This window comes from Homo sapiens, chromosome 16 (assembly GCF_000001405.40).
Source record: "Homo sapiens chromosome 16, GRCh38.p14 Primary Assembly".
Lineage (NCBI taxonomy): Eukaryota > Metazoa > Chordata > Mammalia > Primates > Hominidae > Homo > Homo sapiens.
Window position 1 is genome coordinate 70454571 of NC_000016.10, and position 25979 is coordinate 70480549.

At 55.3% G+C, this 25979-nt stretch overlaps 1 protein-coding gene across 1 annotated transcript, besides 6 other annotated features; it reads left to right on the forward strand.

Moving 5' to 3' along the window:
• Positions 1–24: 24 nt before the first annotated feature.
• On the forward strand, positions 25–25704 carry FCSK (fucose kinase). The gene is made up of 24 exons (NM_145059.3): positions 25–60; positions 8599–8702; positions 9053–9204; positions 10556–10606; positions 11562–11687; positions 12312–12384; positions 12804–12901; positions 13316–13396; positions 14279–14398; positions 14582–14753; positions 15744–15856; positions 16401–16502; positions 16612–16782; positions 17971–18035; positions 18413–18783; positions 19559–19769; positions 19958–20124; positions 20220–20441; positions 20780–20923; positions 21078–21197; positions 23702–23889; positions 23981–24080; positions 24610–24833; positions 25009–25704. The coding sequence occupies exons 2-24, from the start codon at positions 8621–8623 to the stop codon at positions 25108–25110; spliced, it is 3255 nt and encodes a 1084-aa protein (NP_659496.2). The 5' UTR covers positions 25–60; positions 8599–8620; the 3' UTR covers positions 25111–25704.
• Positions 11846–12347: an enhancer, noted in NCBI's record as "H3K27ac hESC enhancer chr16:70500319-70500820 (GRCh37/hg19 assembly coordinates)". NCBI's record gives its function as "activates a minimal SCP1, AML or CMV promoter by ChIP-STARR-seq in primed H9 embryonic stem cells {active_cell/tissue: H9 hESC(primed)}" and the evidence as "EXISTENCE:reporter gene assay evidence [ECO:0000049][PMID:30033119]".
• Positions 12348–12847: an enhancer, noted in NCBI's record as "H3K27ac hESC enhancer chr16:70500821-70501320 (GRCh37/hg19 assembly coordinates)". NCBI's record gives its function as "activates a minimal SCP1, AML or CMV promoter by ChIP-STARR-seq in primed H9 embryonic stem cells {active_cell/tissue: H9 hESC(primed)}" and the evidence as "EXISTENCE:reporter gene assay evidence [ECO:0000049][PMID:30033119]".
• Positions 16260–17195: an enhancer, noted in NCBI's record as "H3K4me1 hESC enhancer chr16:70504733-70505668 (GRCh37/hg19 assembly coordinates)". NCBI's record gives its function as "activates a minimal SCP1, AML or CMV promoter by ChIP-STARR-seq in naive H9 embryonic stem cells {active_cell/tissue: H9 hESC(naive)}" and the evidence as "EXISTENCE:reporter gene assay evidence [ECO:0000049][PMID:30033119]".
• Positions 22125–22394: an enhancer, noted in NCBI's record as "active region_11064". NCBI's record gives its function as "activates an Ori minimal core promoter by ATAC-STARR-seq in GM12878 lymphoblastoid cells {active_cell/tissue: GM12878}" and the evidence as "EXISTENCE:reporter gene assay evidence [ECO:0000049][PMID:35858748]".
• Positions 22535–22704: an enhancer, noted in NCBI's record as "active region_11065". NCBI's record gives its function as "activates an Ori minimal core promoter by ATAC-STARR-seq in GM12878 lymphoblastoid cells {active_cell/tissue: GM12878}" and the evidence as "EXISTENCE:reporter gene assay evidence [ECO:0000049][PMID:35858748]".
• Positions 24336–24630: a silencer, noted in NCBI's record as "tiled region #8991; K562 Repressive non-DNase unmatched - State 17:Gen3'". NCBI's record gives its function as "represses a minimal TATA promoter and a strong SV40 promoter by Sharpr-MPRA in K562 cells {active_cell/tissue: K562}" and the evidence as "EXISTENCE:reporter gene assay evidence [ECO:0000049][PMID:27701403]".

A 25979-nucleotide genomic window follows, 5' to 3' on the forward strand; every position in this document is an offset into this window, starting at 1 on the left:
GCGAGGGTCGCGCAGCCTCGCGTTAAAGAGCCCGCTCCGCCGAGCGCCGGGCGACGGCAGGTACGTCAGTCCGCGAGGGTCGCCGCAGCGCCCCTTGCGCCCCTTGCGCCCCTTGCGCCCCCTCAGCTTTCCGGTGCACCCTCCCTGACTGGGAGCACCGAGTCGACCCGCGGGCCGCCCGGGTCCTGACAGGGAAGAGTCCCCGGGAGCTCTGCGGTGCCCCGGGAGCCCACAGGTGTTTCTACGCTCCCGCGTCCATTTGGCCTGGGTCTTCCAAGGGGAGCCCCGCGACCCGGCTGGTGCGGCCGGACCTGCTGGCAGCTGGGACCGGGAGGGATGCGGGCCTCAGAGGATCCTCACCCTGAGGCAGGTGGGGCCCTGGATGCCGGCGCTGCTCTGATTTTACTTTGAGGCCGCTTCTCCTCTCTCAGTTTACCCGGCCAGGGCTCAGTATTATGCACAAATCTCAATGATGTGCTCTTGGGTAATTTACAAAACGATTTTACTCCCAAGTAACTTCTTTCGGTCTGTTATTTAGAAGGCAGCAAGTCAGAGTCCTCCGTGAGCCTTTTTTTCCTCTTTAAAGTTCTAAAATGTGCAGTCCCTGACCCACCTGTCTTCAAAAGGTTCATATGAAGAGTTCTTAGTACTTTATTCTATCTCTGGCTCCCCAACCCTATCCCAGTCTTGGACAGCGTGGGGCTGAGGACACTAAAAAATATTTCAACTTGATCTCAGCAGATGAGGCTGTATTGAAAGTGGGTAGAGGCTGGGCGCCAAGGCTCATGCCTGTAATCCCAGCTACTTGGGAGGCTGAGGCGAGGGAATCGCTTGAACTCAGGAGATGGAGGTTGCAGTGAGCCAAGATCACGCCACTGCACTCCACCCTGGGCGACAGAGCGAGACTACGTCTCAAAAACAAAACAAAACAAACCAACAACAACAACAACAAAAGAACCTTAGGGCCTTAGGGCACACTTTCTCAGGACCTCTTGAGATTGTGTAACTCCAGCAAACTATTAATTAAAAAAAAAAAAAAGGCCGGGCGAGGTGGCTCACGCCTGTAATCCCAGCACTGTGGGAGGCGGAAGCAGGTAGATCACCTATGGTCAGGAGTTTGAGACCAGCGTGGCCAACATGGCAAAACCCCCTCTCTACTAATAATACAAAAATTAGCTGGGCGTGGTGGTGCACGTCTGTAATCCCAGCTACTTGGGAGGCTGAGGCAGGAGAATCACTTTAACCTGGGAGGCGGAGATTGCAGTGAGCCGAGATCGCGCCATTGCACTCCAGCCTGACGACAGAGGGAGACTGTCTCAAAAAAAAAAAAAGCCAGGCATGGTGGCTTACACCTGTAATCCCAACACTTAGGAAGGCCAAGGCGGGAGGATTACTTGAGTCCGGGAGTTGTAGGTCAGCCTGGGCAACAAAGGGAGGCCCCATCTCAACAAAAAATAAAAAACTAGCAGGACTCATGCATAGTCCCAGCTACTTGGGAGGCTGGGATGGGAGGATCGCTGGAGCCCGGGAGTTTGAGGCTGCAGTGAGCTGTGATCACATCACTGCGTTCCGCCCTCTGGTGACAGAGCCGGACCCTGTTTCTCAAAAACAAAACAAAACAAAACAAAAGCCTAGCCTGCCTGTGCTATTAAAGCAATGGCAAAAGCCAAAATTACTTTTGCACCAACCTAATAGCTATGTTTCTGCTTTTTAAACTACAGTTTTCTTGTCTAGAGCTTCAGTGAGATAAGAACCAATTCTTAGGACTGTTGGGTGGGTCATATGAAGTGACACTGATGTGCCTTTGCCATAGTGCCTGAAAAAGCACTCCATATGTATTAGCTACTTGTATCATTTTACCTTTTTTGTTAATCTCTCAGGGGATGTCCCTCAGCCTTGCTTGATTCCCGAGGCCTTCCCTGATTTTTTTCTTCTTCAGGACAGTCTTTAACTCAGAGAATGTTTGAGAGCTTCCAGTCCTTCCTCCTTCAGGGACAGGTTAAACTCTCCTGCTTCCTTGCCTGGCTGGAAGGATTATCATTCATTGAGCCACTGGTGTGTGCCACATACTTTACATTGTATTTCATGCTGAAAACAGTCCTGGGAGGTTGATGTCTTTGGCCTTAAATTTCAGATTAGGAAACTGAGGCTTAGAGAGGTTAAGTAACTGCTGGGCATGGTGGCTCACGCCTGTAATCCCAGCACTTTGGGAGGCCGAGGCAGGCGGATCCCAAGGTCAGGAGTTTGAGACCAGCCTGGCCAGCATGGTGAAACCCCGTCTCTACTAAAAATACAAAAAATTATCCAGGCATGGTGGTGCGCGCCTGTAGTCCCAGTTACTCGGGAGGCTGAGGCAGGAGAATGGCTTGAACCTGGGAGGCGGAGGTTGCAGTGAGCCAAGATTGCGCCACTGCACTCCAGCCTGGGTGACAGAGCGAGACTCCATCTTAAAAAAAAAAATAGATTAAGTAACTTGCTCAGGATCCTACAGGAAGCAGGAAGAGGTAGAGATGGGGACAGAGCCTTTTGGGACTGATACGCAACCCAGGACTGTTCCTCTGCCCCTGTCATTAGTAAGGGATACTCTCCCCACTCTGGCCATGACCTGTCACCTGCCCATGTCTCTCTATCACTATGCTGAGATGAAGACTGGGCTCAGAACTTCTGGGCCATTGGACTCTCTGGGGCATTTCTTTTTTTTCTTGAGACAGAGTCGCTCTGTTGCCCAGGCTAGAGTGCAGTGGCGTGATCTTGGCTCACTGCAGCCTCCGTCTCCTGGGTTCAAGTGATTCTCCTGCCTCAGCCTCCTGAGTAGCTGGGACTACAAGCGCGCATCACTACACCCGGCTAATTTTTGTACTTTTAAAAGAGATGGGGTTTTGGCATGTTGGCCAGGCTGGCCTTGAACTCCTGAACTCAAGTGATCTGCCCACTTTGGCCTCCCGAAGTGCTGGGATTCCGGATGTGAGCTACCACATCTGGCCATTTCAAGGGTTTCTTTCTTTCTTTCTTTCTTTCTTTTTTCCTCAGACAGGGTCTGGCTTTGTTACCCAGGGTGGAATGTATTGGTGCCAGTTTACTGCAACCTCTGCCCCCAGGGCTGAAACAATGCTTCCGCCTCAGCCTCCTGAGTAGCTGTGACTATAGGCACATTCACTGTGCCTGGCTAATTTTTGTATGTGTGTGGTTTTTTGTTTTTTTTTTTTTGGTAGAGATGGGGTTTGCCATGTTGCTCAGGCTGGTCTCAAACTCCTGGGCTCAAGCCATCCGCCTGTCTTGGCCTCCCAAAGTGCTGGAATTACAGGTGTGAACCACTGCACCTGGCCTCTTGCTGTCTTTCAGTGCCTTTGCTTGGGACCAGATATCATTATCACTATCACCTGAATAAGGATCCAAAAGACCCAGGTGTGTTGCAACTTTGACTATAGCGTCTCCTGGCCTCTGTGAAGTGGAGATAATAGGAGATAATAATACTTATCTTGCAGGGTCTAAGGGTGTTGTCAAGATAAAAAAAAAAAATCACAGCACCTTAACTGTGGTCCAGAGTGCTCAGTCCTAGTGGCTATTATTAATTTTTTTTCTTTCTTTCTTTCTTTTTTTTTTTTTTGAGACAAAGTCTCACTCTGTCACCCAGGCTGGAGTGCAGTGGAACAATCTCTGCTCACTGCAACCACCGCTTCCCAGGTTCAAGCGATTCTCCTGCCTCAGCCTCCTGAGTAGCTGGGATTACAGGCACCCGCCACCATGCCTGGCTAATTTTTGAATTTTTGGTAGAGATGGGGTTTCACCATGCTGGCCAGGCTGGTCTCAAACTCCTGACCTCAGGTGATCCACCCGCCTCGGCCTCCCAAAGTGCTGAGATTATAGGCGTGAGCCACCATGCCCGGCCTATTAATTTTAATTTTATTTTTTTTGAGACGGAATCTCACTCTGTCGCCCAGGCTGGAGTGCAGTGGCGTGATCTTGGCTCACTGCAACCTCCACCTCCCAGGTTCAGCCTCCCGAGTAACTGGGATTACAGGTGCCTGCCACCATGCCTGGCTAATTTTTGTATTTTTAGTAGAGACAGGGTTTACCATGTTGGCGAGGCTGGTCTCGAACTCCTGACCTCAGGTAATCTTCCTGCCTTGGCCTTCCAAAGTGCTGGGATTACAGGCATAAGCCACCATGCCTGGCATCCTAGTGGCTATTATTACTAAAATCATCCCTCCCTTGTATTTGTTTAGGCTTTGTCATAATTATAATAGATAATACATACTGAGTGCTTTACATATATTTCCTCCTTTTGTACTTCAGCTCTACAAAGTAGGTTTATTGTAGTGGTTAAGCAAGTGGACCCTGTAGTGGGGAGCATGAATTTAAAAATTAATTAATTAAATTTAAAAATAAATTAATAAAAAAAAAGGCTGAGGCAGGAGGATTGCTTGAGTCCAGGAGTTTGAGACCAGCTTGGGCAATGTGGCAAGACCCAATCTCTTAAAAAGAAAACAAACAGTGAAAACCTTAGCTAGGCATGGTGGCATGTGCCTATGGTCCCAGCTATACAGGAGGCTGAGGTAGCAGGATTGCTTGGGCCTGGGAGGTCGAGGCTGCAGTGAGTTATGATTGCACCACTACACTCCAGTCTGGGTGACAGATTGAGACCCTGTCTTTAAAAAAAAAAAAAAAAGTAAAAAAGACAATAAAAAAAGAGGCCGGGCATGGTGGCTCATTCCCAGCATTTTGGGAAGCCGAGGCAGGTGGATCACCTGAGGTCAAAAGTTTGAGACCAGCCTGGCCAACATGGTGAAACCCTGTCTTTACTAAAAATACAAAAATTAGTCAGGCGTGGTGGCACATGCCTGTAATCCTAGCTACTCGGGAGGCTGAGGCAGGGAGAATTGCTTGAACCCAGGAGGTGGAGATTACAGTGAGCTGAGATTGTACCACTGCACTCCAGCCTGGGGGATACAGTAAGACTCCATCTCAGAAAGAAAAAAAGGTAATAAAATAGATACTCTGGAAAAAAAGTTTAGTTTCAAACTTCACTCTGCCACTTGCTAGCTTTGGCAAGTTACTTCATCTCTCTGTGCCTCATTTCTCCGTCTTTTTTTTTTTTTTTTTTTGTAGAGTCCAGGTCTCTGTATGTTGCCCAGGCTGGTTTCTAACTCTTGGGCTCAAGCGATCCTCCTGACATGGCCTCCCAAAATGCTGGAATTATAGACATGAGCCACCACACCCAGCAGTTTCTTCATCTTTTTTTTTTTTCGAGATAGATTTTTGCTCTTCTTGCCCAGGCTGGAGTGCAATGGTATGGTCTCGGCTCACTGCAATCTCTGTCTCCCAGGTTGAAGTGATTCTCCTGTCTCAGCCTCCCAAGTAGCTGGAATTACAGGTGCCCACCACCACATCTGGCTAATTTTTGTATTTTTAGTAGAGATGGGGTTTCACCATGTTGGCCAGGCTGGTCTCAAACTCCTGACCTCAGGCAGTCCTGCCCCTGTCTCCCAAAGTGCTCGGATTATAGGCGTGAGCCGCCAACCACGTCTAGCCTCTTTTTTTTTTTTTTTTTTTTGAGACGGTGTCTCGCTCTGTCGCCCAGGCTGGAGTGGAGTGCAGTGGCGTGATCTCTGCTCACTGCAAGCTCCGCCTCCCGGGTTCATGCCATTCTCTTGCCTCAGCCTCCCGAGTAGCTGGGACTACAGGCACCCGCCACCACGCCCAGCTAATTTTTTGTATTTTTAGTAGAGACGGGGTTTCACTGCATTAGCCAGGATGGTCTCGATCTCCTGACCTTGTGATCCACCCTCCTCGGCCTCCCAAAGTGCTGGGATTACAGGCGTGAGCCACCGTGCCTGGACTTCTTTTTTTTTGAGACAGAATCTCGCTCTGTCGCCCAGGCTGGAGTGCAGTGGTGTGATCTTGGCTCACTGCAACCTTTGCCTCCTGGGTTCAAGTGATTATTCTGACTCAGCCTCCTGAGTAGCTGGGACTACAGGCACGTGCCACCACATCTGGCTAATTTTTGTATTTTTATTAGAGACGGGGTTTCACCATATTGGCCAGGCTGGTCTCAAACTCCTGACCTCGTGATCTGCCCGCCTTGGCCTCCCAAAGTGCTGGGATTACAGATGTGAGCCACTGCGCCCAGGTGGCAGTGCAGTTCTAAGCTGCCTGCCAGAGGAGTCTGGAATTTCACAGGAATAGGTCTGTTTCAGTGTCCCAGCTGTGCTCAGTCACTGGTTGTGAGAAGGTTCGTTCAAAGCGTGGCCTCCATGTAAACAAGGTGGGAGATTCAGATCGTAGCAGCTGGGGGCGTCTGTTAGTTACACTCCCTGCTGCAGCTGACCTGAGGGTTAGACGTGCCTACGGCCATACAGTAAATTGGTGGCAAAGTTGGAGGGAGGGCTTGGTGGGCATCCTGGGAGGAGCCTTCACCCTCAAGTGCCTGGCTGGGATCTCTAGCTGGAATTTCCCCTCTGGATTTCCCTGCTGGGCTGAGTAGGGAATGGAGCAATTTCTGACAGAGGCTTTTCCTGAAGGCGTGGGTGTTGCTGAGTGGTGGTGTCCTGTCAGCCTCTTCTCTTCTGGTGGCAGCAGAGCCTGGCACTGGAATAGCCTGTGGCTGAGCTTCAGGTTTCCTGTCACTTTGGCTGGGGTGTGGGCTGACCACCAGATGTGTGCTCAGGGCGCAGCTCAGCCAGTGGTGAGCAGCTTACTTGCATGGGCTTTTCCCATGCTGAGTTTTGAGGGGTGGAGGGAGGAAATGGGGGTGCTGCTTTGTGGGACAGCAGTGGGAGCCCTGCCAGAGGTGAATGTGTGGGTACTCCTGGGGGACTCGGTCTCGGGGAGGCCAGGGGCTCAGGAGTCAGATTGGTTTTCCATCTGGCAGGAGTGCTGGCAGGTTGGGGGAGACAGGGGTGGGGGTGAAGCCAAATCTTTGGCCTTGCTTTCCCCCTACTTGCTGAGAGTGCCCTGGAGGAAGATGGCGGGCAGGTAGGGCTGCAGCCCCCGCTGGGCTGGCTGAGACCCCTGGGAAGGGAGGTCTCCAAGTGCCTGCTCCTGCAGCTCTGAGTGCATATGCGCTCCCCACAGCTGCCCCCTTCTCCGGGGAACCCCCATCAGCTTGAGGAGCCTGGGGGGTGGGGTTAGGCATTTGCTCTCGCCTTCCTTTCCCCCTTGCTTTGGGTGGCCCCAACTCTTACCCCATCCTGCTGCCCTCCCTTCCTCCTTCCTGGGCACACTCCCTGGGGAAATCACACCCATCCACATTTTGGAATGTCAGCAGACATGCTGACCACGTGACCCAGCCATCCGCCTTGGTGTCCACCTGGGGAGATGAAATCTTCTGTTCACACGAACCTATCTCCGGAGGTTCATAGCAGGACTATTCACATCTGCCAAAAACTGGAGATGGCCCAGATGCTCTTCAGTGGGTAAATGGAGAAACAGATGCGGCCCATCCATGCGAGGGATCACTGCTCCTCCGAAAAAAGGCTTGGGCCACAGATATGTACAATGACTTGGATACATCTCAGAGGCATCATGTTGGATGAAAGAAGCTAATCTCAAAAGATTATATTCCATTTTATTTGACTTTTTTTTGTTTTGTTTTGTTTTGAGGGTCTTGCTGTGTCAGCCAGGCTGGAGTGCAGTGGAGTGATCATGGCTCACTGCAGCCTTAACCTCCTGGGCTCAAGCAGTCCTCCCACCTTGGTCTTCCAAAGTGCTGGGATTATAGACGTGAGCCACTACACCTGTCCTGGCCTTTATTTTATTTTAGTTAATTAATTAGAGATAGGGTCTTATTCTGTGACCCAGGCTGGAGTGCAGTGATACAGTCATAGCCCACTACAGCCATAATCTCCCAGGCTCAAGCAGTCCTCCCACCTTAGCTTCCTGAGTAGCTGGAACTACAGGCACACGCCACCACGCCTGCCTAATTTTTGTATTTTTAGTAGTGAAGAGGTTTTGCCATGTTGGCCAGGCTGGTCTCGAACTCCTGACCTCAGGTGATCTGTCCACCTCGGCCTCCCAAAGTGCTGGAATTACAGATGTAAGCTACTATACCTGGCCTGTTCGACATTTTTTCTTTTATTTATTTATTTTTTTTGAGACGGAGTCTCCCTTTGTCGCCCAGGTTGGAGTGCAGTGGCGCGATCTTGGCCCACTGCAGCCTCCGCCTCCTGGGTTCAAGCGATTCTCCTGCTTCAGCCTCCCGAGTAGCTGGGATTACAGGCATGCCCCGCCACACCCGGCTAATTTTTGTATTTTTAGTAGAGACGGGGTTTCACCATGTTGGCCAGGCTGGTCTCCAACTCCTGACCTCAGGTGATCCCCCCACCTCAGCCTCCCAAAGTGCTAGGATTGCAGGCATGAGCCTCTGCACCCGGCCGACATTTTCTAAGTTGATGAAACTATAGCTTTAGAGAGCAAATCAGTGGTTGTCAGGGCGTAGGCGGGGAGGAGAGGTTGCATGAGGAAGTTTTTTTGAGTGTAGATGGTGATACCAACACGAATCTATACACATGTTAAAATCATAGAATTGTATATAAAATTAATTACTTTTAGTTATGATGGTTTAAAAAATAGTCACATCTACCCATATTGCTGTCTCAGGAAGCCCCTCCGCTTGGCCAGAATGGAGCAGCCGAAGGGAGTTGATTGGACAGTCATCATCCTGACCTGCCAGTACAAGGACAGTGTCCAGGTCTTTCAGAGAGGTAGGGGACTCCCCTTCCCACCTTGCCCCTAATGGAGAACCTCCCTCCCCTTCCTGGCTATGTCCCTCCAACACCAGGTGCCAGGCCAACCTGGGTTCAAACCCAGATTGCACTTCTCCCTAGCCATGTGACAGCATACGTGGCATGTCATTCCTTGTGCCTTAGTTTTCTCATCTGTAAGATGGGAGTAATATGACTTCTCTCACTAAGTTGGGTGAAGATCTAGTGGCCTCCTACATGGAAAGCTAAGTCAAGGAAGATCAAACACTGATGATCAGTAGGCTTGCTTACGTGCTTTGGGCCAGGGCAGAGAGCTGGGGGGCAGGTCCCAGTGTCTCTTCTGACCCTAGAACTGGAAGTGCGGCAGAAGCGGGAGCAGATCCCTGCTGGGACGCTGTTACTGGCCGTGGAGGACCCAGAGAAGCGTGTGGGCAGCGGAGGAGCCACCCTCAACGCCCTGCTGGTGGCTGCTGAACACCTGAGTGCCCGGGCAGGCTTCACTGTGAGTGCTCACCAGGGCCACCTCCCTGGTCTGTGTCCCTGCTGGAACCAGGTCATTTCTGAGATCCCCAGCTCCTCTGGCTCCATCGCCTTGGCCAACTCAGCATTGGTCTCAGTTTTTGTTTCTGTAAATTGGGCGGACTCATCTCTGCCTTGCCGTTCAAGTGAGGGCAGAAGGCAGGGCCAGCTTTTGCAGTGTTTTTAGAGAGTTGTAGCCAATATCTCAAAGTGAGGCTTTCTGGCTTCTCTTGAAACATTCAAAGGTCTTGCTAGCCTGGGCTGTCATCCCCATATGGCAACGAACTGTTCGCTGGACCTGAGCTGCGGCTGCCTGCTTTGGGCAGGCCATGTGAGTCAGCATCCCTGCTGGTCCCGTGTCTCCCATGCAACCAGCCACTTCACCCGGTCACCTTGTCTGCATAGCATCTTTGTGTGCAGAGTGAGGGCGAGCACAGACTTGGACATGCTCTGCAGAGGGAGATGGCACCAGCAGGGGAGGGGACCACTGTAGCTGCCATGGCGCTGACTCCCCTAAGTCACCCAGCCAGCCCCCAACTCTTGTTGCCTGTAACCTCCCCTTCAAAACAGACAGCAGAGGCCGGGCGCGGTGGCTCATGCCTTTAATCCCAGCACTTTGGGAGGCCGAGGTGGGTGGATCACCTGAGGTCAGGAGTTGGAGACCAGCCTGACCAACGTGATGAAACCCCGTCTCTACTAAAAATACAAAAATTAGCTGGGCCTGGTTGCACACACCTGTAATCCCAGCTACTCGGGAGGCTGAGGCAGGAGAGTCGCTTGAACCCAGGAGGTGGAGGTTGCAGTGAGCTGAGATCATGCCATTGCAGTGAGCTGAGATCATGCCATTGCAGTGAGCTGAGATCATGCCATTGCACTCCATTCTGGGCAACAGAGCGAGACTGCATCTCAAAAAAAAAAAAAAAAAAAAATTTAAGAGGTAGCCAGGCGTGGCAGTGCACACCTGTAGTCCCAGCTAGTTAAGAGGCTGAGGTGGGAGGCTCGCTTGAGCCCAAGAGACCAAGGCTGCAGTGAGCTGGGATCATACCACTGCACTCCAGACTGGGTGACAGAGTGAGACCCTGTCTCAAAACAACAACAACAACAGCAACAAACCAGCCAGCAAGAAGGTGGCCCAGGTGGAGGGCCCTGGGATCCCTTATCCAGGAGGGACCAGGGCTGCCCCTTGTCTGCCTGTGGCCATTGGTTTGACCTTGCCTTTTGTCCCTTGGGTACCTGAGTGGATTTGTGTTGGAGTCTCTCTCTGGATTCGAGGGTGCCATCCTCCAGGGCGTCTGCCTGAGGCCTCTGTTCACAGGGCTTTCCCACTCCTGCAGGTGGTCACATCCGATGTCCTGCACTCGGCCTGGATCCTCATTCTGCACATGGTAAATGAACTTTGGGGCAGGGGCCAAGCAGAAGGCCAGAATCCCAGTTCGTGGAGTTGAGCAGGACTTCAGGGGTGTTCTGCCACTGTGTGTGTGCAAGATGAAATCTGAAAGATTCTAAATGTCCAAAAATTGGGAAATGGCTAAATATATACCACATATTTTCCCAGCAGAATATTAGATTGAAAGGTCCATCTAGGGCCGGGCGCAGTGGCTCATGCCTGTAAATCTCAGCACTTTGGGAGGCCAAGGCGGGAGGATTGCTTGAGCCCAGGAGATCGAGACCAGCCTGGGCAACATGGTGAAACCTCATCTCTATAAGAAATACAAAAATTAGCCGCCATGGTGGTGCACACCTGTAGTCCCAGCTACTCAGGAGGCTGAGGTGGGAGGATCACTTGAGCCTGGGAGGTTGAGGCTGCAGTGAGTTATGATTACACCACTGCACTCCAGCCTGTGTGACCCTTTCTCAAAAAATAAAATTATAGGCTGGGCGCAGTGGCTCACATCTGTAAAGTGGCTCACACAGCGCTTTGGGAGGTTGAGGCGGGCAGATCACAAGGTCAGGAGTTTGAGATCAGCCTGGCCAGCATGGTGAAACTCTGTCTTTACTAAAAATACAAAAAATTAGCCAGGCATGGTGGTGCATGCCTGTAGTCCCAGCTACTTGGGAGGCTGAGGCATGAGAATTGCTTGAACCCAGGAGGCGGAGGTTGCAGTGAGCCAAGATCGCACTACTGCACTACAGCCTGGGCAACAGAGCAAGACTTAGTCTAAAAAATTGCAGTGCAATGCAATGCAATGCAATGCATAATATAAAAATATATTGTAGGAGAAAATATCAAGAGAACATTTTTTATCAGCCCTCCACTGGATGGCTTTCTGCCTGCACAGCTGATGAGGTGGCCTTGGGCTCTGTGCACTGAGGCTTCCTCACCAGTCCCCCGACTTCCAGGGTCGAGACTTCCCCTTTGATGACTGTGGCAGGGCTTTCACCTGCCTCCCCGTGGAGAACCCCGAGGCCCCCGTGGAAGCCTTGGTCTGCAACCTGGACTGCCTGCTGGACATCATGACCTATCGGGTGAGGCTGGGTGGTGGCCCGTGGTGCCTCGTCCCAGATAGAGCCACTTCCCTCCCACTGTTCCCCCAGGTATGATCTATGCTGGCTCAGCTGGGAGAAGGAATGGTTTTGAGGGTGCCTAATGTTAGTTAAGAGCTTCAAGAAGTTAGTTGTGTCTGGGGGCAGTGGCTCATGCCTATAATTTCAGCACTTTGAGAAGCCAAAGTGGGAGGATCGCTTGAGGCCAAGAGTTCATGACCAGCCTGGGCAACACAGCAAGACCCCATCTCTACAAAAAAATTTTTAAAAAATTACCTGGGCATGATGGCATGCACTTGTAGTCCCAGCTACTCAAGAGGCTGAGGCAGGAAGATCGCTTGAGCCCAGGAGTTTGAGGCTGCAGTGAGCTACGATCGCACTACTGCACTCCAGCCTGGGTGACAGTGAGACCCTGTCGCAATAACAACAAATAAGTTAGTCTTGGTCACATGGGGAAAGTTGTAAACCCAGGTCAGAGAGTGGGTGGGGGCAGACCAGGTCTTGGAGGCCCTTGTTACTTCAACAGCACAGTATCCTTGGGCAAGGAGGGGGCAGGTGAAGGCCTGGGCCAGGCACCAGCTGTGTTCTGTCTCCTTCCCCCCACAGCTGGGCCCGGGCTCCCCGCCAGGCGTGTGGGTCTGCAGCACCGACATGCTGCTGTCTGTTCCTGCAAATCCTGGTGAGCCTGAGACTACCTGGGACTGCCTTCCTTCGTCACAGCCACAGCAAGAAGCCAGCTCTGCCCTTCTTGCCCACCCTGCCTCTGGGCCTGCCCCGCTGCCCTATTAGACGGGAAGCTGGAGGGTGTGGAGAATGAAGCCTGGTGGAGGCAGGGCTTCTCCTGCTGTGCCTCAGTCTGTCTGTCTATAGGATGGACAGAAGCAGCCCTGCCCCTTCTGTCCCACAGGGCTCTGCGGAAGAACTTTGGGAGAGGAGGGTTGTCATTCTCCCAGGCGAATGTCCATTTGGCTTGGAAACCGTATTTCCCTTTTAGAGGTGCCCAGGTGCCGCAGCCCTGGGCTCTTGCTTCCACCTGGTGGGGAAATCCGTGCCTTGGGTGGAGGCCCCTGGGAGCCTCCTGACTGCCCCACCCCACAGGTATCAGCTGGGACAGCTTCCGGGGAGCCAGAGTGATCGCCCTCCCAGGGAGCCCGGCCTACGCTCAGAATCATGGCGTCTACCTAACTGACCCCCAGGTAGTGCCCCTGGGGACAGTGGAGCCGGCTGGGGCAGCCTTCCTCCTGTCAGTGGGCAGCCTCCTCCCTGTCAGTGGGCAGCCTCTCATCCTGGATTTCCTCGCATGTTCCTGAATCCAAGGAGTTTCCTCCGTGGCAGTGGCACCAGTGCTCCCTTACTCTCGCCAAAAATACATTTCACACCGACCGCCTGTCCAGTCTCTGTGCCCAGGCTCAGGGCTGCAAAGACCTTTAAAGCCTGCCCTCTGCCATCATGGAGTAGAAATCTCAGGCCCCCCCTGAGAATGCCAGCAACTGCCAGCCTTGCGTCCTCAGCTTTCCTTTGGAGAATGCCCTTGCTGCCACCTGTGGCTGTGGCCTCCTTCCAGATCCCTTCCTGCTCCCTCCGCTGATTCTGTTTCTCCCTGCACATAGGGCCTTGTTTTGGACATTTACTACCAGGGCACTGAGGCAGAGATTCAGCGGTGTGTCAGGCCTGATGGGCGGGTGCCACTGGTATGGCTGCTGGGCCCAGGTTGCGGGGCTTTGGGGACCTTATGGGACAGGGAGGGAGGGTCTGACTTCCTTCGATTCCTTCTAGAAGCCTCCAGGACAAGCTAGAGCTAGAATCTGAGGACAGGGTAGCCTTGGAATTCAGGGTCTTGTCCTGAGCCAGAAAGCCTAGAACCAGGCGGGCACGGTGGCTAACGCCTGTAATCCCAGCACTTTAGGAGGCTGAGGCGGGTGGATCAGTTGAGGTCAGGAGTTCGAGACCAGTCTGGGCAACGTGGTGAAACCCTGTCTCTACTAAATACAACAATTAGCTGAGCATGGTGGTGTGTGCCTGTAATCCCAACTACTTGAGAGGTAGAGGCTCGAGAATCGCTTGAACCCAGGAGGCGGAGGTTGCGGTGAGCAGAGATCGTGCCACTGCACTTCAGCCAGGGTGACAGAGCGAGACTCTGAATCAATCCCCTGCCCGCTGTAAAACAAAACAAAGCAAACCTCAAAAACTCAAACGAAAAAAGAAAGCCTAGAACCAGAATGTGAGCAAGTTAGGGAGTGCGGTTGGGAGGAGGCCTAGAGCCAGACTCCGGGAATGCTTCCATCATGAGGGGCAAGGATTGGAGAGGCATGGAGATCTGGGAGTGGACCATGGCGAGGGTGGAGAACTGGGTTCAGGAGAAGGCCTGACAGTTGAGGGTGTCCCAGAAGGTGTCTTGGTGGGAGCTACCCCAAGTAAGCCTGGAGTCTGGCTGCTGGAGTGGTCAGAAGGTGACACTCCCTGCCTGGTATGGCACTCAGCTTCATGTGGCCCATCTGCATGTGCCCTCCCTGACTTGTACCAGGGCCTGGTCCAGGGCCCTCCATCTCTGATCCTTTTGGGGTCCCTTCCAGGTCTCTGGGGTTGTCTTCTTCTCTGTGGAGACTGCCGAGCGCCTCCTAGCCACCCACGTGAGCCCGCCCCTGGATGCCTGCACCTACCTAGGCTTGGACTCCGGAGCCCGGCCTGTCCAGGTGACTGGGGGAGGGCAGCTAGGTGGGGCCTGGCTTGGGGGCGAGGCACTGTGTGACCTCAGGCCAGCCACTTCCCCTCTCTGGGGCAGAGTCTCCGCAGACGGGACTGCCCTGGTTCAGCCTCAGAACTTGGGGGCTGAACCCCTGCCATGCCAATAGCTGTGCTTCTTCCCCTTCCCCTAGCTGTCTCTGTTTTTTGACATTCTCCACTGCATGGCTGAGAACGTGACCAGGGAGGACTTCCTGGTGGGGAGGCCCCCAGAGTTGGGGCAAGGCGATGCAGATGTAGCGGGTTATCTGCAGAGCGCCCGGGCCCAGCTGTGGAGGGAGCTTCGCGATCAGCCCCTTACCATGGGTGGGTACTGCCTCTCAGCTCCCTGGGGTGGGGAGACCATGGGAGTGAGGACCCCAAGAATGGAGCTGCTCACTGCATGCTGGGCCAGGCAGCCCAGCACAGGGACTGGGCAGTTCTCCTGTCCTGTGCCAGAGCCCCCCACTGAGCTACCTCCTTCCCCTTCTTGTCTTCCTTTTGTCTCATTCCTGGGCTCTCCCAGCCTGTCCACTTTTGTTTCTGTTTTTTTTTGTTTGTTTGTTTTGTTTTTTGAGACGGACTCTCTCTTTGTCGCCCCGGCTAGAGTGAGGTGGTGCGATCTCAGCTCACTGCAACCTCCGCCTCCTGGGTTCAAGCAATTCTCCTGCCTCAGCCTCCTGCGTACCTGGGATAATAGCCATGCATCATCACACTTGGCTAATTTTTCTATTTTTAGTTGGTCAGGCTGGTCTTGAACTCCTGGCCTCAGGTGACCCGCCTGCCTTGGCCTCCCGAAGTGCTGGGCTTACAGGCATGAGCCACCATGCCCGGCCCTAACCTGTCTGCTTTCTTTTTTTTTTTTTGAGACAGAGTATGGCTCTGTTGCCCAGGCTGGAGTGCAGTGGCGTAATTTCGGCTCACTGCAACCTCTGCGTCTCAGGTTCAAGCGATTCTCCTGCCTCAGCTGCCTGAGTAGCTGGGATTACAGGTGCGTGGCACCATGCCTGGCTAATTTTTGTATTTTTAGTAAAGATGGGATTTCACCATGTTGGTCAGGCTGGTCTCGAACTCCTGACCTCGTGATCTGCCTGCCTCGGCCTCCCAAAGTGCTGGGATTACAGGCGTGAGCCACTGTGCCCGGCCAACCTGTCTACTTTCTAGCTGTGTTGTGTGGCTTTGGGCAGGTTCCTGACTCAGCTTCCCCTAACAGGCTCATGGCCACACCTGCCCCCATGTGTCTCTGCTGCTGGGAGGCAGCCTGGCCCCTGAGTCGCAGCAGGCATGGGGTTGGGTTCAGTACTTATGTCTTTACAGCCTATGTCTCCAGCGGCAGCTACAGCTACATGACCTCCTCAGCCAGTGAGTTCCTGCTCAGCCTCACACTCCCCGGGGCTCCTGGGGCCCAGATTGTGCACTCCCAGGTGGAGGTGAGACCTCCCTGCCCCTCCGGTGCCTGCTGGTTGTCTGGGGTCAGGTGGGATGTGGATTCCCGGGAAGAAAATAGCCGGCACTTGGAACAGATGACCCGAGTGCAGGTGTTACCCTGGTTTACACATGAAGTGCTGGAGGCTCAGAGAGGCTAAGTAACTTGCCTAAGGCCACAGAGCCAGTAAGTGGCCAACTCAGGATTCTGCATTGAGCTTGCCTGATTGAGAAGCTAAAGGAGACCTTTATTTGGGGTCTGCCTGGGGTGACAGTGGTGGGCCTGGGTCAGTGCCGTGCTGCTGAGGAAGGGGACAGGTAGGGTTCAGAGGTGGCCCCCAGGGTGGCAAGGTTGGGCGTAGTTGGACAGGTGGGATGGAAATAGGTCTCAGGCTGGGGCCAAGGCAGGTCCAGAGAGGAGTCTAGGGTGCTGCAGGGCAGGGGAGCAGTAGGCCTGGACGCTTTGCCCCTGGATGCTTGGCTTGGGAGGAGAGCTGGGGCAGCCCTGGGCCTCGACCCCCCTCATGCTCCTCCTACCTGGCTGCACAGGAGCAGCAGCTTCTGGCGGCCGGGAGCTCTGTGGTCAGCTGCCTGCTGGAGGGCCCTGTCCAGCTGGGTCCTGGGAGCGTCCTGCAGCACTGCCACCTGCAGGTGAGGCCTGAGCGTGTGGGCAGATTGGGGCGAGGGTGCTGGCATCCCGCATGTGTTGGGGGGTGTTGGGTGCCTGCCCACCCAGGATGCCTGCCCTGTCCCCCACCAGGGCCCCATTCACATAGGCGCTGGCTGCTTGGTGACTGGCCTGGATACAGCCCACTCCAAGGCCCTGCATGGCCGGGAGCTGCGTGACCTTGTCCTGCAGGGACACCACACGCGGCTACACGGCTCCCCGGGCCACGCCTTCACCCTCGTTGGCCGTCTGGACAGCTGGGAGGTAGGCAGTCACCCTGCATTCCCTCACCCCCATCTTCAGGCTTTGGGGAGCCCAAGGAGTCCTGGCCCCCACCCCACTGCGGGGTTCTCTGAGCACTGGCCCGTGGGACAGGCTGTGAGGAGGGTCGGATGTAGGGAGGAGAGAATGAGGGAGGAGATAGGGTGAAGATAGGCTGTGAGACCAGCAGAGTCTCCACAGGCCTTTACCTCCCTCCTTGCATCTGCTCTGCCAGGTGGGCTGGGTGGGGATTTTGTTTTTTTTCTGGAGATAGAGTCTTGCTCTATCACCAAGGCTGGAGTGCAGTGGCCCAATCTCAGCTCACTGCAATCTCTGCCTCCCAGGTTCAAGCGATTCTCCTGCCTCAGCCTCACGAATAGCTGGGACTACCAGCGTGCACCACCACGCCCAGCTTAGTAGAGATGGGGTTTCGCCATGCTAGTCTGGTTGGGTGGGGTTGTTGTTTTTTTTTTTTTTTTTGAGACTCACTCTGTCTCCCAGGCCGGAGTGCAGTGGCGCAATCTTGGCTCACTGCAAGCTCTGCCTCCCGGGTTCACGCCATTTTCCTGCCTCAGCCTCCTGAGTAGCTGGGAGTACAGGCGCCCACCACCACGCCTGGCAAATTTTTTTGTATTTTTTAGTAGAGATGAGGTTTCACCGCGTTAGCCAGGATGGTCTCAATCTCCCGACCTCAACTGATCTGCCTGCCTCGGCCTCCCAAAGTGCTGGGATTATAGGTGTGAGCCACCGCGCACGGCTGGGTGGGGGTTTTTATCCTTATTTGACAGGCTAGAGACTGGGATTCAGAGAGGGAGGTAACCCGCCTTGGGCTGCAGCCTGTTGTGGTGGGCTGGGCCTGGAACCCAGGGTTCTGCTCCAGATTTCAGGCACCTTGGCGGGAGTGTTGGGGCTGCAGGGCTGAAAACAATTTCAGAAATTGCTCCATGGCTGGGTGTAGTGGCTCATGCCTGTAATCTCAACACTCTGGGAGGCCGAGGTGGGAGGCCAGGAGTTCATACCTGCAGTGAGCTGACCACACCACTGCACTCCAGCCTGGGTGGGTCAAGTATGTTCTTTGTCTGTCTTCCTGCCCTCATGTGAGCACTTGAGCAGCTCCTGGCCCCCTGGCCGAGTGTCTCTAACCCTTTCCTGTGGCCCCTGCAGCCCTGACTGCTTCTTCCTCTCCCCCAGAGACAGGGGGCAGGCACATATCTCAACGTGCCCTGGAGTGAATTCTTCAAGAGGACAGGTGTTCGGTAAGGTGGACACCCCTAGGGCCTCTGTGGGCCTGGGCAGCTGGGGTGGCTGCTGCTCTTTGAGGTGTGTCCCTCCCCTGCCCCAGAGCAGCACGGGCCGTGTTACCATCCAGGGGCCTGGGTGGTTTTGGGCAGCCGGATTCTCTCCAGTACTTTCCCCCGGGCAGCTCCCAGTCTCTGGCTGTGCTGACTTTGGCTTTCTTGTTCAATGGTCTGGGAAAGGATGCCAGGCAGCCTGGCCCCCGACCTGAATTGCCCACTTATGCTACCTCGGAGGAGTCTGTCCTGTCCCCATGAACTGACAGGCGGCTCAGGGCTTGGGGAAGAGACTGGAGCTTTTGCTTCCCTCCTGGGAATGTGCCTTCTCCCCACATCAGAGCCTGGGACCTGTGGGACCCTGAGACGCTGCCCGCAGAGTACTGCCTTCCCAGCGCCCGCCTCTTTCCTGTGCTCCACCCCTCGAGGGAGCTGGGACCCCAGGACCTGCTGTGGATGCTGGACCACCAGGAGGATGGGGGCGAGGCCCTGCGAGCCTGGCGGGCCTCCTGGCGCCTGTCCTGGGAGCAGCTGCAGCCGTGCCTGGATCGGGCTGCCACGCTGGCCTCTCGCCGGGACCTGTTCTTCCGCCAGGCCCTGCATAAGGCGCGGCACGTGCTGGAGGCCCGGCAGGACCTCAGCCTGCGCCCGCTGATCTGGGCTGCTGTCCGCGAGGGCTGCCCCGGGCCCCTGCTGGCCACGCTGGACCAGGGTGAGTGTGCAGGCTGGTAGTGCTGCAGAATCAGGCCAGGGGCACCTGCCCTCCCTGTCCTCTGGGCCATCCCCTGAGGGGACTAGGGGACCATGAGGTGCTCAAGCAGGGAAGGGGCATGCTGGAGTTTACTTTTAGGATTCTGGAAGGCCTCATCCTTGTCAATGGGGTTTGGTCTGAGGTTGAGGCATGTTCATCCTTGTCAGTGGGGTTTGGTCAGAGGTTGAGGCCTGGCAGCTGAGCTCTAGGTCCTAGGCACATCGGCAAACCCTGCGTGTTCTGTACTGGGTGCCAGGATGTGGGTGCAGAGCGTGGCGAGGGGACAGAGCCCCCAGGGGACATGGTCATCTCTGCATGAGGTCCCAAGCACACTTCCGGGGGCTCACAGCCTTAGCCTCCTAGGCTGAACCTCATGGAAGGTCCCAGGGACCGTGGACATGAATGGTATTGAAGCCACTCACCCAGAGCCACACGGCTAGCTGGTGGTGAGGCTGAGACCTGAGCCCAGGTGGTTTGAGCCCAGAGCCTGAGCTCTTCACCACTATGGGTGTCCTGGGTGGGGGTGAAGAGACACCTATGGGCTGGGACTGGCAAGACGAGATGATCTCTGCCAGGCAGAGAGCAGGAGTGCAGTTACAGTCAAAGATACATTGTGGGCAAAAGCCAGGAGGTGTGAGGGGTCTGGCGCATTTAGGGACTGTTGAGTAGCCTCTCGTGAAAGAGGATTTTGAAGACAGGCCTCCTCCCCTGCCACCCCCAACTCCTTGTCCCTCAGTTGCAGCTGGGGCAGGAGACCCTGGTGTGGCGGCACGGGCACTGGCCTGTGTGGCGGACGTCCTGGGCTGCATGGCAGAGGGCCGTGGGGGCTTGCGGAGCGGGCCAGCTGCCAACCCTGAGTGGATGCGGCCCTTCTCATACCTGGAGTGTGGAGACCTGGCAGCGGGCGTGGAGGCGCTTGCCCAGGAGAGGGACAAGTGGCTAAGCAGGTGTGTACTAATGGAGGTCAGATCCCTTGGATAAGCCCCTTGCTGTCTGGGAAGTGGACCCTGATGGAGGAAACCCAGAGAGAGGTGGGGCTCCCTTGGGTACCCCGGGACAGTCAGGTCCCCAAAGCCAGGCAATCTGCCCCCAGCTTGGGGCTGCATGCCACCATCCCTCCCCCTTCTCTTGGCAGGCCAGCCTTGCTGGTGCGAGCGGCCCGCCACTATGAGGGGGCTGGTCAGATCCTGATCCGCCAGGCTGTGATGTCAGCCCAGCACTTTGTCTCCACAGAGCAGGTGGAACTGCCGGGACCTGGGCAGTGGGTGGTGGCTGAGTGCCCGGCCCGTGTGGATTTCTCTGGTGAGCCCCTTGTGGCAGGTGGGGTTGAGGGTAGCTGCCCCAGAGCCAGGCTGGCAGCTTCTGTGACCAGCTTGAGTCTTGCCACACTGCCATAGGGGGCTGGAGTGACACGCCACCCCTTGCCTATGAGCTTGGCGGGGCTGTGCTGGGCCTGGCTGTGCGAGTGGACGGCCGCCGGCCCATCGGAGCCAGGGCACGCCGCATCCCGGAGCCTGAGCTGTGGCTGGCGGTGGGGCCTCGGCAGGATGAGATGACTGTGAAGATAGTGTGCCGGTGCCTGGCTGACCTGCGGGACTACTGCCAGCCTCATGCCCCAGGTCAGGCACCCTGGGACCTCTGCAGGTGGGGCTGGCCAGCTGGGGGCTCGGGGCAGAAGCTAGAGACTGCAGGCCAGTGGGGTCTGGCCTGAGGGCCAGCCAGTCTGGCTGAGGAGCCTGAAGGGAAGGAAGGGGCTGGGAGTCAACCTGCAAAGATGACACGTGTCCCTGTCTGGGAGCCCAGAGGCCCTTTTGTGGCTTGGGGATGGGGCCAGTACTGCTGCTGGGCTTTTGTCCCACCGGATGAGTCCCGCACTGGGCTGGGAAGTCCAGGGTGGGTGGGTGCCTGCGTCTGCCCATCGAGACTGAATTCCTTTCTCATGCCTGTCCTTCTGCAGGGGCCCTGCTGAAGGCGGCCTTCATCTGTGCAGGGATCGTGCATGTCCACTCGGAACTCCAGCTGAGTGAGCAGCTGCTCCGCACCTTCGGGGGCGGCTTTGAGCTGCACACCTGGTCTGAGCTGCCCCACGGCTCTGGCCTGGGTGAGCGGGCCCTGCCTCCTGCTACCCACCGACTGTTACAGCCCTCCAGCCTTGCCTGTGATCCCCCTTCCTGGCCTCTGCCCTTAGACGGAGTCAGGCAGGCCTGGGCAGGGTGGAGGTGTTTCATGTCTGCTCTCTCCTCTCCGCCCTGCAGGCACCAGCAGCATCCTGGCAGGCACTGCCCTGGCTGCCTTGCAGCGAGCCGCAGGCCGGGTGGTGGGCACGGAAGCCCTGATCCACGCAGTGCTGCACCTGGAGCAGGTGCTCACCACTGGTATGTGACTGCCCTGGAGTTGGAGGAGGTCACTGACACTTTCCCAAGGGCCCGCGGGGGGAGTGGGGCTCCCCTGGATTTGCATGTGATTGGCCAACAGCCACAAGACTGTGCTGCTGTTGGAAATACTTTCCTTCTAGTCACTTTGACCTTCTCTGGTCGTTTTCAACCTGAAATGTTCTACCTCCCAACGAGCCGTTTCACAAGCATCTACTGAGTGCCAGATTCTGTGCTGTGCCCTTTTTTTTTTTTTGAGACGGAGTCTTGCTCTGTCGCCCAGGCTGGAGTGCAGTGGTGCGATCTCAGCTCGCTGCAAGCTCTGCCTCCCGGGTTCACGCCATTCTCCTGCCTCAGCCTCCCGAGTAGCTGGGACTACAGGCGCCTGCCACCACGCCCGGCTAATTTTTTTGTATTTTTAGTAGAGACGGGGTTTCACCGTGTTAGCCAGGATGGTCTCGATCTCCTGACCTCGTGATCCGCCCGCCTCGGCCTCCCAAAGTGCTGGGATTACAGGCGTGAGCCACCGCGCCCGGCCTGTGCTGTGCCTCTCATGCTTGTTGGAACCAGGTGCTGTGCTTCGTGACTGTGCCTTTCCAGGGCTGTGCTGGGGTAGGGCTGGGCAGAGCTGCTTTGGACCTTCCGCCTGTCCTGGCATCGTGCCCTTACTTGAGATATGATCACCTGTGCCCCCGCCCCCACCCCCTGGCCATATGGTGGGACAGCAAGAGCCCAACAATGACTATGATCTAATGAATGTCACCAGCGCCAGGCTTCTCACTCCTCCTGGCCACCGAGCCCCCTGGAACCCATGGCCAGTGTAGAGCAGCTACAGCTTGTCTGGTTTCAGGTCCACCTCAGGGTGTCAGGTCCCGTCTCCAGCACACCCCTGGAAAGAAACTGCTGCAAAGGCCTACTGAAGCCTGACTGTGGTGTTTTCTGTCACTCTGCAGCTCAAGCCTCACATTTCACTGTAGTGACTCATATCCCATAATCGGTAGTCATTAGCAAAAGGAGCAGATGGGGAAGCATTTTCAGTTTTCTTTTGAGGTGTACCATTCAAGTTCTACATTTGGCCAACGGAAAACTATTTGTTGAGAACCCACTCTGTGGGGCCCCAGGGATAAAATGAGCAAAAATGGGGTCCCTGCCCTCAAAAGTCCTGTGGTCTCCTGGAGACAGACATTAATCAATAACTACTCAGGTGCATGTGTATTACAAACTGTGCCAAGTGCTTTGAAGCAGAGGGGCACAGTTAAGTCTTGACATTTCAAGACTTAGCCACTTTGCAACTACCAGGTTTTGGCTGCAAAGTTCCAGATGGCTTCTGTCTTTTGCATTTCATACTTTAAACCCTTGCAGGCCCTTCCCTAACTATCAAGGGCCTGTCCCAGAAGCAACTCAAGTTTTGTTATTTTTAATTTTTTTTTATTTTTGAGATGGAGTCTAGCTCTGTCACCCAGATTGGAGTGCAGTGGTGCGATCTCAGCCCACTGCAACCTCTACCTCCCGGGTTCAAGAGATTCTCCTGCCTCAGCCTCCCAGGTAGCTGGGATTACAGGTGCCTGCCACCATGCCCAGCTAATTTTTTGTATTTTTAGTAGAGATGGGGTTTCACTGTGTTGGCCAGGCTCGTCTTGAACTCCTGACCTCATGATCCGCCTGCCTTGGCCTCCCAAAGTGCTGGGATTACAAGCGTGAGCCACCATGCCCGGACTAGTTTTGTTATTTTTATGCAGCTACAAGGAGGAAAATGATACATACCTTTCATTACTGAAGATGGAAAGATGTGTAAGTTAGATAAGAGAAAAACAGATCCTGATGACCTTCCTTCCAACATAAACCACCTGTCAGAAGACGGTGCAGGGAGACTCAGGCCAAAGGGAAGGTATCTGTCAGCCTCTCCTCTGACTAAAACTCCCCTAGGAGGGGCAGAGGTCAGTGTAAAATATGTATTTTTTGAGACAGAGTCTCACATTGTCACCCAGGCTGGAGTGCAGTGGTGCGATCTCAGCTCACTGCAACCTTTGCCTCAGCCTCCCTAGAAGCTGGGATTACAGGGCATGCACCACCATGCCTGGCTAATTTTTGTATTTTTGGTAGAGACTAGATTTCACCATGTTGGCCAGGTTGGTCTCAAACTCCTGACCTCAAATGATCTGCCCGCCTTAGCCTCCCAAAGTGCTGTGATTACAGGCGTGTGCCACCGTGCCCGGCCATAGTGTAAAATCTTTATTCTTCAGTGTGGTTTATCCCAATTCCAATTATACATTAGGTCTAAAACAAAACTCAGGCCTTGGGAATTCCAAGCTTTGCCCTAGAGTGAAGCCCATTCCCTTGCTGGGATTGTTCTGGGGACAGAAGCTGCATAGCTCACTGTCCTGTGGAGTTGAGGGAAGCTATCTTTCCACACTGGTCCCAGCAAGGGGTGCAGGGCCGGGAGCCTAGGCTGGGAGAGTGAAGCTGGGCCAGATAGACTCCAACAGTGACAGTCCCTGGGCTCACAGGAGGTGGCTGGCAGGACCAAGTAGGTGGCCTAATGCCTGGCATCAAGGTGGGGCGCTCCCGGGCTCAGCTGCCACTGAAGGTGGAGGTAGAAGAGGTCACGGTGCCTGAGGGCTTTGTCCAGAAGCTCAATGACCACCTGCTCTTGGTGTACACTGGCAAGACCCGCCTGGCTCGGAACCTGCTGCAGGTGAGCTCTGGCCCCAGCATGAGGGAGGCAGGCAGGGGGCCTGCCAGCTGGGCCTGGGTCCTCACCACCCCTTCTCCTGCCCCGTCCGCAGGATGTGCTGAGGAGCTGGTATGCCCGACTTCCTGCTGTGGTGCAGAATGCCCACAGCCTGGTACGGCAAACTGAGGAGTGTGCTGAAGGCTTCCGCCAAGGTGAGGGGCTTCCTCTGGGGGGGTCAGGGCACTGGGAGCGAGTATTCTGTCACTTGTGGGTTTGAGGCCAGGGTCATCTGCAGGCTTGGCACAAGCTCCAGATATTCGGCCTCTGGGAACAGAAGCCTACTGTCTGTCCTCTCCAGGGTCTCACATTTAGGGGAGAGCTACATCTGAGGACAAAATTTTCATCATGGGAAAGGCCCTCCAGCCCTAACAGGAAGCAGAGAGGGGAAGGGACTCAACCCATGGCTGAGTTCCAAGGAAGTCTGAGCTGGGCAGGGTCCCCAGTGTGTGGCTTCACAGCTCCCTAGATGCCGACTATGCTGGGTGTGGTGTTGGTTGCTTCCTGCACATTGGTCCTCAGGCAGTCCTGGGAAGTGGGTTACTCCTGGCTCCAGCCGGCACTGGAATCCGGCTTCTTTACCATGACACTGGCTCAGCAGCACGTCTTGGCACTTCATGCAATCTCCAGATGGGTGCTGAGTATCTTGGCCCAGGCACGTCACTCCCCTCTGCCCCACCTCAGGAAGCCTGCCTCTGCTGGGCCAGTGCCTGACCTCGTACTGGGAGCAGAAGAAGCTCATGGCTCCAGGCTGTGAGCCCCTGACTGTGCGGCGTATGATGGATGTCCTGGCCCCCCACGTGCATGGCCAGAGCCTGGCTGGGGCAGGCGGTGGAGGCTTTCTCTATCTGTTGACCAAGGAGCCACAGCAAAAGGAGGCCTTGGAGGCGGTGCTGGCCAAGACCGAGGTACTGATGGGGCTGGGGTTGGTAAAGAGACCTCTGGGGGCAAGAGACCTCACTGTGGCCCACCAGTTAACCAGGGGCTATATCTGTAAGTCCCCCTGGTCCTGCAGGCCCAGTCCAGCCTCCAGAAGGCCTGAGATTTGTCCAGAGCCTTCTAAATACTTCCTGTCTTGTCCAGGGCCTTGGGAATTACAGCATCCACCTGGTTGAAGTGGACACTCAGGGCCTGAGCCTGAAGCTGCTGGGGACCGAGGCCTCAACCTGTTGCCCTTTCCCATGAAGCTGGCTTCTCTCTGCAACAGGAGAAAACCTGGAGCTACAGTGTCCCCCACCTTCCTTGCCCCATGGGAACCTCCACCTCCTACTCCCCACCCACCTCTGCGAATCTGCTCCCAAAGGAAGCTGACCAGAGCAAGATCTGGGCAAGCAGAGAGTGCCTGGGACAGGACTGTGACCTGGTGGACAGGGGCCTAGATGTAGCCTCTGTTCCTCCTGGACATAGGAAGGTCCCAAGCTTAGTATCCCACGTGGCCTTTACAAATCCTATGGCTGGCCTTCTCATTCCACAAGGGCCCTGGAAAGGGTTGACAGCCAGCCTTGGCATATGGCTGGGAGTCCCTTAGCAAGGCCAACCCTGAAGAGGCCCTTTGAGGCATTCCCTATGGCTTAGAGTTGTAGACTTACACTCAACCCTCATGTGAGCGTGGGAGTGAGGGTGGCGGTCCCTTGCCAAGTTGGTAGCAGTGACCCAGTGATTCACTGCCATCCCAGGCCTTAACTAGCAAAACTACGGAGCGTGCCAAGTGACCTGGTGCCTGTGGGAAGTGGGTTCTCAGGACTGGCATTCTTGGAATAAATTCACTCTGTCCTTGCAGGTGGTCCTCGTAAAGTCACTTTTGCTCCTGCTGGGAGCAGTTCCCACTTCTCTACACCATGGGGAACTGGCCCTGGGGTGATCCAGCTTGTGGTGCTGGGGGCCCAAGAGGGGCACGAGGGTCTGGGACTGGATGGGGGCTCCTGCCATCATGTGGGCCCCGGACACAGCTGTGTGCTGCACTGTGTGTGGGAGCAGGCTGAGGTCTTGGGTTTTACCTTCCTATTTCAGTGCAACTGATAGACCTGCCCTGCCCCATAGCATCTGGCCCTCCC

What these genes read in the sequence shown, in the direction of transcription:
- FCSK (NM_145059.3), top strand. Translation starts at nt 8,621, where the DNA reads ATGGAGCAGCCGAAGGGAGTTGATTGGACAGTCATCATCCTGACCTGC. An exon ending in TCTACCTAACTGACCCCCAG is followed by an intron (nt 12,902 to 13,315) that starts GTAGTGCCCCTG and finishes CCCTGCACATAG; the next exon opens with GGCCTTGTTTTGGACATTTA. An exon ending in CTGATGGGCGGGTGCCACTG is followed by an intron (nt 13,397 to 14,278) that starts GTATGGCTGCTG and finishes GGTCCCTTCCAG; the next exon opens with GTCTCTGGGGTTGTCTTCTT.